Below are 18,541 nucleotides of genomic sequence, written 5' to 3'. Positions count from 1 at the left end.
TTTATCTATGTATACACTGCTATATCCCCAGCACCTACAACAGTGCCTGGCAGCAAAGGAGACGCTCATTAAACAGGAGTTGAATGGATCAATGAACTCTCAAATGGTACATTTTGCTAATATGTATCAGGTATTGTGTTCTTTCTAGAATTTGGGGCTGAGGAAGAAAGAAAGAGGGTGAGCATCCTCAACTCCTACTCTTCAAGGACTCCTATCTGGCTTCTAACGCTCCCTCCACCAAATCTGCTGTTGCCAAGATCACTAGGGACCCCCAGGTCAAATCCAGTGGAGAGTTTTCAGAAGAGTCTGCAATCAGAGTTAGGTTAGAATCCCGGCTCTGTTACTTACAAGTTATGCCACGTCAAGCAAATATTTTTTCAAATTTAAAACCAGTAACAATGTTTTCTCAAGTTGACATATCATTTAAAGCAAAAGCAAAAAACTCATAAAAATTAATTTTTAAAAATGACTAAACATTTGAGTATTACAGCTTGTGGAGAATGGGCTGGCTGTGTATATATACCTGAAGGCAAGGGTTGGGGTGAGGGAAGGCATGTTTTTGTTTTAAGTGAGAGAGAACTGAACTGGTTTTAATGCTGAGGAGAAGAAATCAGTTAAAAGTAAAGAGAGGTGTGGGCCCGGCGTGGTGGCCCCCACCTGTAATGCCAGCACTTTGGGAGGCTGAGGCAGCAGGGTCACTTGAGGGTAGGTGCTTGAGACCAGCCTGGGCAATATAACTAAACCCCATCTCTACAAGAAGTTTTTTAAAAACTTAGCTAGGTGTGGCAGTGCATGCCTATAGTTCCAGATACTCAGGAGGCTGAGGAGGGAGGTTCACTTGAGTCCAGGAATTTGAGGTTGCAGTGAGTGATGATCCTGTACTCCAGCTTGAGCAGCAGAGCAAAATAAATAAATAAATAAAAGTTGAGAAAGGTGACAGACAAGGAATGGAATCCAGAAGACAGGTGAAGAGATCAGAGATCAGCTTTGGAGAAAGGCTACCTCCTCCACTGTAGTAACATGGAAGGCAGAGCAGGTGGACATTGGATATGAGGAAGTTTGCAGACATAGCTGGATGCCAGAGTAGTTCCCTTTATATGGATTCAGTTTTGTCCAAGTAGAGAGCAAAGTCGTCTGTGTGGAGTGAGGGGGTAAAAGACTGAGTGATCAGAGGCCTGAGGTAAAGGGGCAAGTGTGGAATCTCTCATGCAAAGAGAGCTCAGCAGGACTGCCAGGAATGCTCAGGGCCCAGAGGACCGCTAGAGAAACAGAATGCTCCTCCCTAGGCATGGGAACTACATATCTGGACAGGTGAGAGCACACTCTCTGGAGGTGAGTCAGCACATACCTCGCTTAGATATGAAACTACCAATGATAAAAGAGCATTTGTGTTTTGTCTCTTGGTTCCCACGAGTGCAGTCTAAGTAATGGTTTGCACATCCTCCCAGCTGGAGACCTCCATCCGGTTCCCTAGGATGGTCATTACCCATCTCAGGTCCCAATTAGTCAAATGTATAACATAGCACTCAGGGAGGCTGCAAAATTAGCTGAAAAAACTTAGACACAGCACCATAATACGTTTTTATCAGAAGCAGCTTTTCCGGTACTTAACACAAAGGGCCACAGGCAGGCCTCAGGTCAATACATGGACTTGTTCAAGATGATCTGTCAGGTATTATCAGACATCTTTTCATCCCATTTTCATTTACTTCAATAATGGTTTCTGAACTTGTGTTATACTTGGCCAACAGTCAGGACCTGCCTAAAGAACTCACTAATTTAGCATTTATCTCAACAGGAAAAAAATAGTATTTCAGAGACTCCTTTGTGGGAGGATGAAGGTAAATGTAGTTTGCCCCAAAATTAGTCTATTGCAAACTAAGATGTTTTGTGAGTGTACCTAAGGAAATGCAAGCTTGGAAGACCTAATTTTTCAAGAAAACTTTTACTTTTAAAATATATATCCTTAAACTTCATAGTTTGTGTATAATGTTTAAGTTAATCTAAAAATTCTGGGACTAAAGTTGCCTCTTATTTATAAAACAAACCTAGACCTCAATTTTAATTTGGGGTTAAAACATGTTAATAAAGAGAGAGAAATATAGGAGAAAACTGACACCCATTTACCAACCATTACATTCTTTTTACCCAAAGAGAGCTTAAAACGCCTTTCTAAAAGGACAAAACCTAGAAGAAAATTCCAAAGAGAAGTAAGAAAGAGAATAACCCTTCCCTAAAACCCAGCTGCAAGGCTGGGAAGAATGTTTTGGTGCTCCGCTTAAATGTGGCTTGCTCACGTGAATGCGTTCTGTTTGATAATGGGCCATACAATGCCATTGTCTGATCACAAAGCTTGTTGCTAACAAATGCAACAGCAGCTTGTTGCTTAGATGGTTCTGTTTATTTTTGCCTCAGAAAGCGAATGCCACATTCAGAGCTAAATGACTAACGTGGAGCTCATGCATCCCATGCTGCTGGCATGCAAAAATCCTTGTAAATCCAGTGATGCAGATGAATACATTTCTTTGTGGCCTTAAAACCCATTCATCCAAGAAATATTCACATCAAGAAAAGTATAGGCGAGTGGGTGTGTGACAACACCCCGTGACCCAGCTCATGCCAGAGTTATGTGGCTGTTTCTCTATAGAGTGTTAAGTAGTAACACTGTGCATTGTTAGAAACTGGGTTAATCACACAACATTTAATCTAGCTTTAAAAAGAAGTGGCCAGTGAAACACCGGATGGCAGTGTGTCTTTAAACTGGTGCCAAGATGAACACACACATGATGTTAGGTTAGTGCAAAAGTAATCACGGGTTTCGCCATTACTTTTAATGGCAAAAAAAGTGATTACTTTCGCACTAACCTATAATATTCCAAAGCAATTAGTTCAAATATTTACTGTTTTTCCGTCTAGATAGTCTAGGTTCTACTGAGATCAGAGCAAAAGGAAATGGGTGAATTTGGGTTCATTTGGTGAAAAAGACATTTATATTAGACATTAGGTAAACCCTTTTGGCTACAAAGACATTACAACAGACTTACGAATAACATCACAGAAATGCTTTTCGCTATAAATCCCCTGCCCATGATATAATTCTTCCTTAAGCAAGTGAAGTGGCTTGCAGTAAAACAAAAACAGCAACATCTAACGACAACTGTTAGATGCTATTTCTAATGAGGCAGCAGAGAGCAAAGTAACTTAAAGTGCAAACTCATGACTCCAGAAATAGTACAACTGGATTAAAATGGCACCACTGTGCTTTTCAGGTATAAAAAAAGAAAAACACCAACAGTAGAATATTTTCCTTCCCTCATAACATGCTATCATGTTCCAGGGCATATCATAATGGCAGCATCCTCAGCAGACTCACTGAGGGATTTAATGGATAATACAGGGCAGGGTTTCTCAACCTCAGCACTACTGACATTTTGGACAGGGTAGTTCTCAGCTGTGGGGGGCTGTCCTGTGTACTGCAGGATGTTTAGCAGCATGCCTAGCCTCTACCACTAGATGCCAGTAGCATCCCTTCCCCCAAAGACGACAACCAAAAATGTCTCCAGACTATTGTCACATGTCCCCTGGGGAGCAAAACTGCCACCTCCTACCCTCCACCTGGCCCCACTTAGCAGTGCTGATACAGAGGTACAACCTGCTCCTCTAACAAGAAGGTTAGAGCAAACAGAGGACAAGGCCGCACCCTCCTTCCCCTTCCCTCACTCCTCAACATGGGCTCTCTTCTCTCCTCTGCCCAGGATGCTCAGGTCTTCTCGTGAAATGCAGGCAATCGACATATGGAATAGAGACTTCCTCCCTAGAAAATGCTGGTTCTCCAATCAACTGTATGTGCACTGACAGACTAACCAGCTGTTGAATCTTTCTTGTATATTCAAATAAAAGTTTTAGGCTGGATGTGGTGGCTCATGCCTGTAATACCAGCACTGTGCAGGGCTGAAGTGGGAGGATGGCTTGAGGCCAGGAGTTTAAAACCAGCTTGGGCAACACAGCAAGACTCTGTCTCTATAAAAAAAAATTTAGGCCCGGTGTGGTGGCTCACGCCTGTAATTCCAGCACTTTGGGAGGCTGGGGCAGGCAGATCACATGAGGCTGGGAGTTGGAGACCAGTCTGATCAACATGGAGAAACCCCTTCTCTACTAAAAACACTAAATTAGCCGGGCATGGTGGCGCATGCCTGTAATCCCAGCTACTCGAGAGGCTGAGCCAGGGGAATTGCTTGAACCCAGGAGGTGGAGGTTGAGGTGAGCCGAGATGCGCCATTTCACTCCAGTCTGGGCAACAAGAGCAAAACTCCATCTCAAAAAAACAAAATAAGTTTAAAAATTAGCCAGGCGTGGTGGCATGCACCTGTAGTCCTAGCTACTCAGGAGGCTGAGGCAGAAGGATCACTTGAGCCCAGCAGGTCGAGGCTGCAGTGAGCCGTGATCACTAAAGCCAGGAGTTTGAGGTTACAGTGAGCTATGATCACGTCTCTATGTTCCAGCCTGGGTGACAGAGTGAGAACATGTCTCTAAAATATAAATAAGTAAACAGAAGTTTTACTAAATCCTCTTGATGGAAGGGTTCAAGAAACAGGTATATATTTACTTAGGGACTAGTCAAGATTTGAAGTGAGAAATGGTACTTGACCTCTTAACACAAAGCTGGCAGCAATTCTCAGTAGTTACCAATCATCACAGACTTCTTCAAAATTATCTAGAAATCACCTCAACAGTTGCTAAGGAACTCAAAAAAATATTTGCCTTACTTTTCAACCTGAGGCTGGTATGTCCTTTTTTGAAAAGAACAAATGGGCTTCTCTTACCACTCTAAACACCTGAGATTTCATAGTCTAACGTGTCACTCCACTTCAGTGGAGAGTATATTTGAGGAATAGCAGAAATCGTACAGGAGTTGATGGCGGAATCACTCACTTTATGATGGAGAAGAGTACAGAGACACATGGACTTTGTGCAGCCCGGCCAGGGTGTGCCCACTGTGTGCCCTGCCTTGCTTTTTTTTTTTTTTTTTTTTTTTGAGACAGAGTCTCGCTCTGTCGCCCAGGCTGAAGTGCAGTGGTGCAATCTCAGATTACTGCAAGCTCCGCCTCCCAGGTTCATGCCATTCTCCTGCCTCAGCCTTCCAAGTAGCTGGGACTACAGGTGCCCACCACCACGCCCGGCTAATTTTTTGTATTTTTAGTAGAGACGGGGTTTCACTGCGTAAGCCAGGATGGTCTCGATCTCCTGACCTCGTGATCCACCCACCTCGGCCTCCCAAAGTGCTGGGATTACAGGCGTGAGCCACCACGCCCTGCACCTTCGTTTAATGTCTTGGTGCTGGAACTCCTAGCACTCCCCTTGGTTTAAGGCCCTCCAACAGGCTTGCAATATGTTTTTAAAGGAATAATATAGCAATTAAATCCACATATAAAATTACAAGCAGAACCCCGTTCCCAAATCAGCACTGTGAGCTGAGCAGATTTGAGATATACACCCGGAACTCAGATCTGACCCATACAATGCTTGTTGTGAGCAGGAGCCCAGGACGAAACTCAGGAGACTTGGGCTCAAGTTTCGGATTTGTGTGTGACTAACTAGCTCTATTCAAACCAGGTCAGTTGTTTAACATCTCTGGACATGAGCTTTATTTGTTATAAAATGCAGGTGTTAGAGTCTACGAGGACTAAAGTTCTTCTTGGGGAGAGAGGGTGAGTAGAGTTGGTTATAAACTCATGAGACTATAGTGAGTGCAATGGAAGTGCCCGAGCCCACAGACCTTCAGGCAGGGAATGAGTGGGGGCCAGGTGGTGACAGTGGGGAAGGGACAGCAGGCACTGGAGGTAGTGCTGGAGGTTCAAGGACTGGGCAGGGAGGAACCCTCGCAAGAGCCCTTGGGGCAATGGCAGGGAAACAGCCTGAGAGGTGGTTGGCTCTAACAGAACACCACAGACTGCATGGCTTTCGAACAACAGACATTTACTCCGCACAGCTCTGGAGGCTGGAAGTCCACAAGCAAGGTGCTGGCAGAGTCGGCGTCTCCGCACCACATCCTCACATGGCAGAAGGTGCAAGGCAGTCTCTGAGGCCTCTTTTATAAGGGCACTGCAAGGAAAACCCAACTCCAACTGCATTTTTCCTTTGCTTTCACACCACAACAATCAATACCAAAGACTTCTGTGACCAAATGTGTGGAGGTTTTTTCCCCAAACACCAAGCTAGTGCTGGGTGTCCTCTAATTCAATTCTGGTGCTCTCCACTTAAAGACAGTGCCAGATCCCACAGGGGGAGGGTTCAGTCCCCAAGACTGCCCCCCTACAAGACACTAGTTGCAAGTCTAGGCCTCCAGAACTTCTGACCAACCAGCTTCAAGTCAGGGTTCCCACAGCCCCCTCTTTGAGTTTGATTAATTCACTACCACAGCTCACAGAACTCAGGGAAACTCTTACTTGCATTTACCAGTTTATTATAAAAAGTCTGATGATGTAATCCCAGCACTTTGGGAGGCCAAGGCGGGTGGATCACTTGAGGTCCGGAGTTCGAGACCAGCCTAACCAACATAGTGAAACCCTGTCTCTACTAAAAAAAAAAAAAAACAAAAAAAACACACACACACAAAATATACAAAAATTAGCTGCATGTGGTGACGGGCACCTGTAATCCCAGCTACTCAGGAGGCTGAGGCAGGAGAATCACTGGAACCCAGGAGGCAGAGGTTGCAGTGAGCTGAGATCACACCATTGCACTCCAGCCTGGGTGACAGAGCAAGACTCCATCTCAAAAAAAAAGAAGAAAAAACGTGTGACTAAGGGCCAGGCATGGTGGGTCACGCCTGTAATCCCAGCACTTTGGAAGGCCAAGGCGGGCCAATCACTTGAGGTCAGGAGTTCGAGACCAGTCTGGGCAACATGGTGAAACCCTGTCTCTATGAAAAATACAAAAATTAGCCGAGCGTGCTGGCGCATGCCTGTGGTCCCAGCTACTTAGGAGTCTGAGGCACAAGAATCGCTTGAACCCAGGAGGCAGAGGTTGCAGTGAGCCTAGATTGTGCCACTGCACTCCAGCCTGGGCAACAGAGTGAGACTCTGTCTCAAAAAAGAAAATAAAAAGTAATAAAAAAGTCTGACTAGGATACAGATGAAGAGATACACAGTGCAGGCGCCTGTAATCCCAGCTACTCAGAAGAATGGGGCAGGAGAATCACTGGAACCCGGGTGGCAGAGGTTGCAGTGAGTCAAGATTGCACCACTGCACTCCAGCCTGGGTGACAGAGTGAGACTCCGTCTCCAAAACAAAACAAAGGTAATAAAAAAAAAGTCTGACTAACGATACAGATGAAGAGATGCACAAGGCAAGGTACGGGGGAAGGGGTGCGGAGCTTCCATGCCCTCCCTGGGTGTGTCACCCTCCAGGAACCTCCTTGAATACTGTCATTAGGCCTTTTATGGAGGCTTCAATGGATAGGCATGACCGAAGACAACTGTGTTGAAATGTGATTGGACAAAAGGGGTGTGATCTAATACTAAGAGACTGAGGAGGACACCCAGCAAGGCCCGCCTGTTTAGATTCTTCTTGGCCTCTTCTGTGTAGCATTTCTTCTTTTGGGGTATGGGGCAGGACCCTCTTTGGAATGAGGGTCTTATGACCCATAGTCAGATGACAGTCCTGCCTTGGGCAGGTGAAAGGAGGGTAGGAAAAGGTCAGAGAGGGAGATTCTGTTTCCTGAGGTCTGCTTCTGAGGCCTAAAGTGCCCCAACAGTATAATAAAACACTGTAACAAGGGCTATGTGAGTTACGAGCCAGGAACCATGGAAGAAAACCTGTGTGTGTGTGTGTGTGTGTGTGTGTGTGTGTGTCATAATAATCATAATACCACAGGCATTAATCCCATGCATGAAGGTGAAACCCTCATGACCTAATCACCTCCCAAAGGTTCCACTTTGTAATACCATCACCTTGGTGATTAGGTTTCAACATATGAATTTGGGGGGACATAAATATTCAAACCATAGCAGGACATTCTATGAGTTTAGGTCATTCATAAATGTGGAATTGTTTGTATCACTTCACTGCAATGTTAGAAAATCAGATCACATCAAAACTTTAGAAAAGACCCGGAGAAGTCCACAAGAGTCCATAATTAGCTAGCTCTCTTTTTTCAGGCAGGGACACCTTTAAATTCTAGAATGGACAAAGAAGCTACATAACATCATTAAAAAAAGAATTCGTGGCCAGGCGCGGTGGCTCACACCTGTAATCCCAGCATTTGGGAGGCTGAGGCGGGTGGATCACTTGAGGTCAGGAATTCAAGACCAGTTTGGCCAGCATGATGAAACCCCATCTCTACTAAAAATACAAAAAAAAAAAAAAAATAGCTGGGTGTGGGGGCAGGCGCCTGTAATCCCAGCTACTTGGAAGAATGAGGCAGGAGAATCGCTGGAACCCTGGAGGCAGAGGTCCAGTGAGCTGAGATCGTGCCATCGCACTCCGGCCTGGGCGACAGAGCGAGGCTCCACCTCAAAAAAAAAAAAAATTTCCTAGTGGACATTGTTATGATTCTTATCAGCAAGTAACAGTGTCTATGTGTTTGTGTATGTACACATACATATTCAACATATTCTACAGTTCTAATTGACAAATTCTAAAACTACTTAGTTACAACACTTTAAAAACTCTAATTACACTTGGGTAAGATATACAATTTTTAAAAATGAATAAAAAGGCGAAACCTCCTCATCTGTACCCTGAGTGTATCACTCCCAAGTGTGTACTATTTATACACAGCAGTTTCCAATGTACTCAAATCAACCTCATGTTCTTTGCTGTAGTAAGCTGAATGAACATGACTCTTGAATCACCTTAAATATGCTTGATAACATGTCAGGATTCAGAACAGCAAAAAAGAAAGCTTTAAAGGGAGATATGCTGGGCTCATTCACATCAAACTGCAGGGGAAACCTGGTTTATGTCCCATAGCTACTAGAATTCCTACACTTGGCCAGCTTATTTTAATAGACCATTTCTCAACTACTCTAGCTGTTCTGTCTAGTTCTAAATAAAAAGCTAGGTAGTTGGGTACTAAAAGGCAAATATGAATATATCAGTGGCTCTGTATCATCTGCAGCAGTGGTTCTCAGTGTGATTCCTGGACAGGCAGCACAAGCATCATCAGGGAACCAGTCGGTAATGCAAACTCTGGGGCGCACTCGAGATCTACAGAACCAGAAGCTTTTGGTAGGGGTTGGGGGTGAGCAATCTGCGTTTTAACAAGCTCTCCAGTGAGGCTGACGTGCACCATAGCTTGAGAACCACTGCTCTACAGCATTACGTCCAGGCTTTCTAGGATAACTCCCAGGCCCTTTAGGCCTTGTCTATTAATCTCATCTCTCCACTGCATATCAAGCACGAGCACATGATCTCATCTGACCTACCTACGTGCACAAGGCTGCTTCACGATTCTCTTTTTCTATGCGCATGTGCCGCCATCCACCCATATCCCCTGACAAGCCCAGAGGGAATGAATGAGAGCCTCTCGCCTTTATGACTCAACTCAGCGTTACTCTGAAAAAGAAGTCTTTCTTGACCTCTGCTCCAGGTAGGGCTGACCACCCCACACATCTGTGCCACTGCTAAATCCTGAACACACAATTCTCACTGCATTTATCAAGTTGCACTGTCGTTTTGCATGTGTGTTGACCATGATCTGAGGGTACTGCTGTACCTAATACACAATGGTACTCAAGAAAGGTTGAGTAACTGAAAACCCACTTCTGGTGGATAAGATTTCCTCCAGAGTACATTCTCTACTGCCATGACGGATCTAACAGCACTCAAGAGCTCTTGTTTATCCAGGATCCAGGGAGGGAGGGCTGTGAACAATGAAGAAAGAGACAGTAGATATAAACTATAATGAATAAGGAGGAGTTATCTAGACAGAGTGATATCGAGAGTAGGGTAGCACTTCAAGAAGAAGAAACAGAATGTGCAAAGAATACAAGGCACAAGGAATCAGGGTGAGTTCAGGAAATAGAAAAGTTAATGTGGCTGGAATGCAGAGAGACAGGGTGGAAGGGCAGGAGATGAAGCTGAAAATACAGCCAGTGACCAGAGGAAGCAAGACCTTGTAGATCATGTCAAGCGTCTTCATTATAAGAAAAATGGGAAGACAATGATGAGTTTTAAATACAAAGGTGACATAAGCTATGTATTTTTTTAAAAAAAATCACATGACTTCAGTATGAAAAATATATTATTTTTTCATAGACAGAAAGAAATGTATGCTAGGAGGCCAATTAAGAAGTTACTATAGGTCAGGTGTGGTGGCTCATGCCTGTAATCCGAACACTTTGGGAGGCCGAGGCGGGTGAGTCACCTGAGGTTAGGAGTTCGAGACCAGCCTGGCCAACATGGCAAAACCTCATCTCTACTAAAAATACAAAAATTAGCCCGGTGTGGTGGTGCATGCCTGTAATCCCAGCTAGTCAGGAGGCTGAGGCAGGAGAATTGCTTGAACCCGGGAGTCAGAGGTTGCAGTGAGCCAAGATTGTGCCATTGCACTGCAGTCTGGGTGACAGAGTGAGACTCCATCTCAAAAAAAAAAAAAGAAGTTACTATAATAGTTAAGAGGGCGACTGGTGGTAAAGGATAGTGGTGTACAGACAGGGAACAGAGTTAAGCTACATGTAGGTGGTCCATCTGCATAATAATGGACTGGATAAAGTATACAAGGGAGAAGGAATCAACAAGGTTGACTTAGGTTTGTGGCTTGTATGAACAGATGGTGTTATGGACTGAATGTGTCCCTCTAAAATTCATCTGCTGAAATGTTAACTTCCAATAAGACAGTATTAGGAGGTAGGCACTTTGAAACATTTAGATGAGATGATGAAGGTAGAAGCCCCATGATGGAGTTAGAGCCCTTATTCAAAGAGAAAGACTAGAATTCTCCTTCTCCCCACTCCACCCTACCACGTGAGGATATAGCAAGGACGCCATCTGCAAACCAGCAAGAGGGCCCTCATCAGACACCAAATCTGCCAGTACCTTGATCTTGGACCTCCCAGCCTCTAGACTGTGAGAAATAAACGTTGTTTAAGCCACCCAGTCTGTGGCATTTTGTGACAGCAGCCTGAATTGACTGAGACAGATGATGATGCCATTCACTGAGGCAAGAAATTACAGAAGATGCCCAGCTATGTGAGACTTTATGTGGACATTTTCATTTGGAGCCACTTTTGAGATATCCAAACAAAACTGTTGAGATGGCAGAGATTAAGTAGAAAGGTACAGGATCTCTGCAGACAGAAATTTGGAGTCTTCAGCATACAGATAAGGGAAAGGATTAGAGTAGGGCAGTGCTACCCAACATAACCTCTGTAATGATGGAAATATTCATAATGCACTATCCAATATGGCAGCCACGTGTGGTTACTGAGTACTTGAAATGTGGCTGATGTAACTGGGGAACTGAATTTGTACTTACTTTTAATTCATTTAAATTTAAATAGTAACATGTAGCCAATGGCAATTATATTAGGCAGCACGGGTATAAAATAATTAGGTATAAAAGAGTTAGGAACAAACCCTGAAGAACTCCAACATTTAAAAGCTGAATAGAGTAAAGAAAATAAGCAGAAAAATCAACAAAAAACTAGAATAAGACAGGGAGCGTTAGCCCAGGCAGTGGAATTTCAAGAAGACTGAGCAGTCAACAATATCAAATGCCGCAGAAAGGTCAAAGAAGATGAACACTGAAAAAAGCCCATTGAAATTAGCCAGTTAGACTCACTAAGCTCCCCAAATTCTATGACCAACAGGCAGCTGATGTAATCAGTGGGTAAATTTTAGGCCTCAGTCAAAACATGTGGCCAGGTTTGAATGATAAAATAGGGGCAGGGAAAAGAAAATTTTGCGAGCAAACTAAAACTTCAGAGACTAATTGTTTCAAACTGTTTCGTACTTGTTAAGTTTTCTGTAAAAGCTTTCCCTCTAATTATACCTAATGTAATTTTGTTGCCCATAGGACAAAGACCTGACTTAGCTGGTCTCAAAAAAAATTTTTTTTTTAGTTCTATGATTTCAATTATTTTCCCCAGAATTAATTGTATTAAAATTAAACTAGCTGAGGCACCAAAGATTTTTAAAATCATACTTAATTTCTTTAAAAGACCAAAATTCCAAAAGAAAAAGGCCATCAAGAAAAAAATCAAATAAAAATTTCCACCTTGTTAAGGAGAGTAATGTTTCTCTCTCTAAGACAAACTAATCTACTGTGAACCTAAAACGTGCAGTTTTGGGTGGATTTTCTGGAGTGTGTTGAAGCCTCAAAAGCCTTATTTTGAACTGTCCTAAATATACAAAGTAAAGAGCTCTACGGGTTGTCTTATGTCATCCTGAACAAAGGCAATACGGTTAGCTGCTGCTGTGGTTTGAATGTTTGTGTCCCCTCCAAAATTCATGTTGAAACTTACTCCCTACAGTATTATCAGGTGGGGCCTGTAGGAGACGACAAGGCCAGGATGAAATGAAATTGGTGCCTTATAGAAGGGCTGGAGAGAACTAGCTAGGCCCTTATGTCCTTCTATCATGCAAGACACAGCAAGCATTTGTCCCCTCCAGGAGATGTAATAAGAAGGTGCCATTCTGGAAGCGGAGAGCAGCCCTCACCAGCCACTGAATGCCGCAGGCTTGATCCTGGATTCCCAAACTCCAGATAAGTAAGAAATAAATTTCTCTTCTTTATAGTAAATACCCAGTTTGTGGTATTTTGTCATAGCAGCAGGAATGGAGCGAGACAGCGGTTAACCCCTTAAGGTTTCAGAGAGTTAACAATCAGGTAATTTCTCCCAATCTGCTACATGGCATTTTTTCTTTAAACCCTCAAAGTATTTTCACAATTGCATATCATCTCTTGCATCACAACATCAATTATGATTCAAAAACACTTGCCAGGCCAGGTGTGGTGGCTCAGATTAATCACAGCACTTTGAGAGGCCGAGGAGGGCGGATCGATTGAGCCCAGGAGTTTGAGACCAGCCTGAGCAACGTGGTGAAACCCCATTTCTACAAAAAATACAAAAACTAGCTGGATGCAGTGGTGTGCACCTGTCATCCCAGCTACTCGGGAAGCTGAGGTGGGAGGATCACTTGAACCCGGGAGGTCAAGACTGCAGTGAGCCGTGACTGCACCACTGCACTTCAGCGTGGGTGACAAAGCCAGACCCTGTCTCAAAAAAAAAAAAAAAAGACTCACCAGAAACATCTTTATATGGAACAAAACTATATTTATATTGTGTGTATTAATGTATACTACATTCACAAATACAGTTCCTATCTCTAGGTTGAATACTAAACGTTCCTAGGATCGTCCATCTGTTCATTCTTCTTTTAAACTTCTTCAGTTTCCCACTTATAAAAAAGAATGCAGCAATAAGGAGAAAGAACATTGGAAACAAAATTACTTACAACTTACTTTTCTCTGGTTCTTTGTCTGATTTTCACTAGATCACACTACCTCCAAAATGCAAAGATCTCCAAAAACAACTCAACAATTATATTTTGGGGAGATTTTTTAACGCTAAAAATTTGGCTTTCTTTAATGACTTTTATGGGAGGGGGAAACACATTCTTATTGAAATAAATTAAAGGGAAGGTCAATCTGAGAAACAATGACATAGGTATTTTTAATGCAGCTATCTAGAACCATTCTATAAATTAGCCTTTTATTTGCCAGCCATACATCAAAACTCCAAAGACCACAGAAATACAAGAGCGACTTCCTGTAACATCCAATAAGTTACTACATACTGAGTTAAAAGAAAAAGTAAGGACAACGAGGAATGCTAAATTTGTTCTTATTTTTTCTTAAAAAAAAAAAGTATCCGTACTTAAATTATAACTTAATTATTTAAAATTGAAAGCACCTACATATGAACTTTAATGGGGAGACAGCAGAGGGTATAATGAGTTAGCGGAAGTCACTTCAGATTGTTAATACATTGTTCTGCTCTAATAATGCGGCAGCATCAGCTTTACTGATATTTGACTTGGAAATAGCAGAAACAGAAGACTATTAACTACTGTCTCTATAATGGTAACTTCCAAATATTTCTCTTCAGGTTATTCTCTCTCCACAGCATGAATCCCAGCTTAGAAATGCCAAACAAGGAGTTTCCTATGCCCCTCTTGCCCCAAATCCAGGATGTCCAAGACCAAACTCCTACATAACCCCTGACTCCTTCAGTATCTTCATTGAGAACCCTTTATGATTATCTAGAGCACTCAATCTAAAGATGAAAACAACTGAGTCCTAGAGAAATAAAATGACTTGTGCGGATTCCATCAGGAAGCTAGCAGCACAAGAGAACTTGAACCAAGGCCCCCAAGTCCCTGTGCTAGGGCTTTTTCTTTTACACCCTAAACTTGATCTCACCAGCCTGCAGCAATGGGACACAGCAGTAGACTGGAAGGGATGACCTCGCTGAGCAAAGTGTTTTGAGCTGCATTTATGCGTGCTTGATACTTACTCCTTTTGATCAAGGTGATTTACACTAACTGACAGCTGTTCCCTCCTCTGTAAAGTCAGCGGATCGCACCAGCACTATCATTCTCTTGGATCCTTTGTTCCCATCTTCCGCGAGTCGCTAAGCAGGCTGTTGTCCTTCACGATCTTCCTTATCAATCCCTTCCTTTTCACTAGCATTATCCAGGTCCTAGATTGCAATACCTTATTCCTACTTGGTGCATCGGCCTCCTAGTTGGAATACTCCAAAGATATTTTTTAAAGTTTTCATCATTTATCTATTTTTTCATTTTCTGTTTATAAACGATCGTGTTTTACATTGTTTCTCTAACTCTGTTAGTGCTGCAATCCCTCATGGTACTATTTTGAAATGTTTTCATTACTACAAAATTATGAATATGAATATGCCTGAATCATAACCAGACCATAACCATAATGTAAATAAAAACAGAAAAAATTAAAAATCACCTTTTGTCAAAAATTTTCTGTAAAATTTTAAACATCTAATAAATGACATAAAAATACTGAATACCTTTTTAGAATTATTCAATAAAAAATATAATGTAAATACTACATCAAAACATCTTAGCAACATACACTGGAAAGTGACCTGCTTTCTGTCTATAGGTTTGCCTATTCTGGACATTTCATATAAATGAAATCATGCAATATGTGCCCTATTGCATCTGGCTTCTTTCACTTAGCATATGGTTTTCAAGGTTTATTCCTTTTTATTGTTGAATAATACTCCCTTGTCTGGATATACCACATTTTGTTTACCCATTGTTGATGGTGATTTGGTTGTTTCCAATTTTTGCCTGTTATAAATTATGCTACTATAAACATTCAAGTTTTTTGTGGAGATACAAATTCATTTCCCTTGGGTATACACCTAGGAGTAGAAATGCTAGGTCACATGGTAATTCTATGTTTAAAATTTCGAGGAACTGCCAAATTGTCTTCTATTTTCCATTTCCAACAGCAATGTATAAGGTTTCCAGTTTCTCCGTATCCTCACCAACAGTTCTTATCTCTTTCACTTTAGCCACCCTAGAAGGCATGAAGTGATGTCCTGTGTTAGTTTCAACTGGGTTATTGCTCTTTTGATTATCGAGTTATAAGAGTTCTTTATATGTTATGGATACAACCTTTTTATCAGATACATGATTTGCAAGTATTTTTCCTCCACTCTGTGAGTTGTCTTTTCATTTTCTTGATAATGTCCCTTGACAAACATAAGTTTCATTTATTTCTTATTTTTGAGATGGGGTCTGGCTGTGTCACCCAGGCTGGAGTACAGTGGTATGATCACAGCTCATTGCAGCCTTGACCTCCTGGGCTCAAGCAATCCTCCCAGCTCAGCCTCCCAGGACTACAGGTGTGCACCACCACACCTGGATAATTTTTAAAAATTTTTTTGTAGAGACAAGGTCTTGCTATGTTGCCCAGGCTGGCCTCAAAACTCCTGTCCATGGCCGGGTGCGGTGGCTCATGCCTGTAATCCCAGCACTTTGGGAGGCTGAGGCAGGCAGATCACCTGAGGTCAGGAGTTCAAGACCAGCCTGGCCAACATGGTGAAACCCAACCTCTACTAAAAATACAAAAAAAAATTAGCTGGGTATGGTGGTGGGTGCCTGTAATCCAAGCTACTTGGGAGGCTGAGGCAGGAGAATCGCTTGAATTTGGGAGGCGGAAGTTGCAGTGAGCCGAGATTGTGTCATTGCCCTCCAGCCCGGGTGACAAGAGCGAAACTCTGTCTGAAACAAACAAACAAACAAACAAATAAACTCCTGTCCTCAAGTAATCCTCCCTCCTTGGTCCCCGCAAAGTGCTGGGATTATAGGAAGAGTCACTACACTCAGCCAAGTTTTTCATTTTTAATGAAGTCCAATTTACTTTTTTCCCCTCGTCACTGCTTCCCTTCATTCTTACTAGACCCGAGAGCACTGATTCCATGGAACCTGTCTTTTTCTGGACATGAAGGCATGTGCTGGCTGGAACTACCTATACAGTTCCAGCTAGTCTACTTTTTGCCAAAGTGTTTTTTTCTAACTTTGAACCCTATTATAGTCTTAAAAGAGACTAATGTAGAAAAAGCTAAATAGTGATACCAGAATTAACCCAAAAGGAGAAAAGGCAGAAAATCTTAATGTGGTCAGAAAGCTTGCTGAAAAGAGATATTTCTAGCATTTTCACACACACAAAAAAGGGAACTAAATGCTATACTTGAACTTACCAGTTATAATGCAGTGGGTTGAATTGTGTTCCCAAAAAGATATGTTGAAGTCCTAATCTGCCCCCCATACCTACTAAAGCGATCTTATTCGGAAATGGGGTCTTTGCCGACGTGATCAAGTTAAGATAAAGTCATGCTTAATCAGGGTGGGCCCCAATCCAATATGACTAGTGCCCCTGTTGAGAAAACAGAGACGCAAAACCAGAGAAGAATATCACGTGACAACTGAGGCAGGGATTGGAGTGACATATCTCCAGGCCAGGGAACACCAAGGATTGCCAGCAACATGGAAAGCTAAGGCACAGACATGGAAGAGGCTCCCCCAGCGCATTCAGAAGCAGCGTGGCCCTGCCAAAGCCTTGATTTTAGACTTCTTGCCTCCAAAACTGTGAGAAAATACATTTTTGTTGTTTGTGCCAGACAGTTTGTGGTACTTTGCTATGGCAGCTCTAGGAATTGAGACAGAAGAACCTTTTAAATATTGTATGATTCTACTTATATGAGGTACATAGACTTGTCAAACTCAGAGAGACAGAAAGTAGAATGGTGGTTGTCACGGGCTGAGGGGAGTGGGGAGAGTGGAGCTATTGTTTAACGGATACGAAGTTTCAGTTTGGGAAGATGAAAAGTTCCGGAGATGGGTGGTAATGATGGCTACAGAACAGTATGAATGTAATTAATGCCACAGAACTGTACACTTAAAAATGGTAAATTTTGTTACGTATATTTCACCACAATTAACCCTCTTCTCCCCAAAAGAAAAATCTTTTTTTCTAAGGAATGTGAGCTCCTTTAAATGATCAGGGCCAGAAAGGCATTTAGAACGTAACAGAGGTCATGTCACACTTCCCCATGAGCTAAATAATTACTTCTTGAAGCCACTTCTCTTCAGGCTCTAGACTAACGCCAGGTAGCCATAAAATGTCATCCACATCACTGTTTAACTGTGTACAGCCAAGCACTAACCATTGTTCTTTCTGTAAACCCATGAGAATTCCTGACCACGTTCGTAACTGCCCCCTTTCCTGATTTGTCTTTTTTTCTTTAAAAACTTGAGCCTCTCTTTTTGTTCTCTGCAGCACTCAAGGCAACCTGGCAGTGTGTCCCTGGCTATAGTCCTCAACTTCCGCACTTGAATAAATTCTCTTTAAACTAGATTCTGACCTTTTTGATCATTTTAGGCAGAGAGAAACTAATACTTAAAATAAACCAAACACTTCAGTTATAATTAAAATTCAACCAGAATACACCGTATTAAGAGTAAATTCTTGACAGTTACTTTGTCCTTATATATAAACATGTACACACATTCTCATGCTAAAATTTCGTATTAAGCACAAAGCACGTAAGAGTTTATCTAAGCAGTTTAACTTTGCAAAAAGCAGGAAGATTAAAATCCACTGGAGCATTATACTATGCAGACATAGAGGCTGGAGGTGACAATCACTGCTAACCAGTAACCTCAGAGAAGCAATGAGACCAGTGTCCAGTGTTTCCTGTCCCAGGCAAAACGGCTCCAAGGCCCCAAGAGTGCTTAGTTTGTTTGTCTTTTCCTCAGTGCTTAAACAACAGAAGGAAGCCAGGATACCCAAAAGAGTTGCAAGGACAGCTTAGACGGAAAACACAGACACTCAAGAATCAAGGGTCACTGAGAATGTCTGTAACATAACTGTTATGGGCTGAATCGTGTCCTTCCCGCACTCCCAAAACAAATTCAGATGCTGAAGTCCTAACGCCAAGTACCTTAGGATGTGGCCTTATTTGGAGACAGGGCCTTTGCAGAGTCA

General features: G+C 42.5%; 1 protein-coding gene across 11 annotated transcripts in view, besides 7 other annotated features; it reads right to left on the bottom strand.

Moving 5' to 3' along the window:
• The window catches only part of SNX25 (sorting nexin 25), a 174,406-nt gene that overhangs the window by 69,949 nt on the left and 85,916 nt on the right, over nt 1-18,541 (bottom strand). The window lies entirely within an intron of this gene.
• Nucleotides 2,023-2,523: an enhancer, noted in NCBI's record as "OCT4-NANOG-H3K27ac hESC enhancer chr4:186227325-186227825 (GRCh37/hg19 assembly coordinates)". NCBI's record gives its function as "activates a minimal SCP1, AML or CMV promoter by ChIP-STARR-seq in naive H9 embryonic stem cells {active_cell/tissue: H9 hESC(naive)}" and the evidence as "EXISTENCE:reporter gene assay evidence [ECO:0000049][PMID:30033119]".
• Nucleotides 2,205-2,499: a silencer, noted in NCBI's record as "tiled region #683; K562 Repressive non-DNase unmatched - State 23:Low". NCBI's record gives its function as "represses a minimal TATA promoter and a strong SV40 promoter by Sharpr-MPRA in K562 cells {active_cell/tissue: K562}" and the evidence as "EXISTENCE:reporter gene assay evidence [ECO:0000049][PMID:27701403]".
• Nucleotides 2,609-2,668: an enhancer, noted in NCBI's record as "active region_22253". NCBI's record gives its function as "activates an Ori minimal core promoter by ATAC-STARR-seq in GM12878 lymphoblastoid cells {active_cell/tissue: GM12878}" and the evidence as "EXISTENCE:reporter gene assay evidence [ECO:0000049][PMID:35858748]".
• Nucleotides 3,704-3,893: an enhancer, noted in NCBI's record as "active region_22252". NCBI's record gives its function as "activates an Ori minimal core promoter by ATAC-STARR-seq in GM12878 lymphoblastoid cells {active_cell/tissue: GM12878}" and the evidence as "EXISTENCE:reporter gene assay evidence [ECO:0000049][PMID:35858748]".
• Nucleotides 4,782-4,881: an enhancer, noted in NCBI's record as "active region_22251". NCBI's record gives its function as "activates an Ori minimal core promoter by ATAC-STARR-seq in GM12878 lymphoblastoid cells {active_cell/tissue: GM12878}" and the evidence as "EXISTENCE:reporter gene assay evidence [ECO:0000049][PMID:35858748]".
• Nucleotides 6,066-6,566: an enhancer, noted in NCBI's record as "H3K27ac hESC enhancer chr4:186223282-186223782 (GRCh37/hg19 assembly coordinates)". NCBI's record gives its function as "activates a minimal SCP1, AML or CMV promoter by ChIP-STARR-seq in primed H9 embryonic stem cells {active_cell/tissue: H9 hESC(primed)}" and the evidence as "EXISTENCE:reporter gene assay evidence [ECO:0000049][PMID:30033119]".
• Nucleotides 14,405-14,699: a silencer, noted in NCBI's record as "tiled region #940; K562 Repressive non-DNase unmatched - State 15:Elon". NCBI's record gives its function as "represses a minimal TATA promoter and a strong SV40 promoter by Sharpr-MPRA in K562 cells {active_cell/tissue: K562}" and the evidence as "EXISTENCE:reporter gene assay evidence [ECO:0000049][PMID:27701403]".

The sequence above is a fragment of the Homo sapiens genome, chromosome 4, assembly GCF_000001405.40.
Source record: "Homo sapiens chromosome 4, GRCh38.p14 Primary Assembly".
In the NCBI taxonomy this organism is placed as follows: domain Eukaryota; kingdom Metazoa; phylum Chordata; class Mammalia; order Primates; family Hominidae; genus Homo; species Homo sapiens.
The sequence above is the reverse complement of the archived record's forward strand: the minus strand, read 5'-3'. Positions and strand labels throughout refer to the sequence as shown.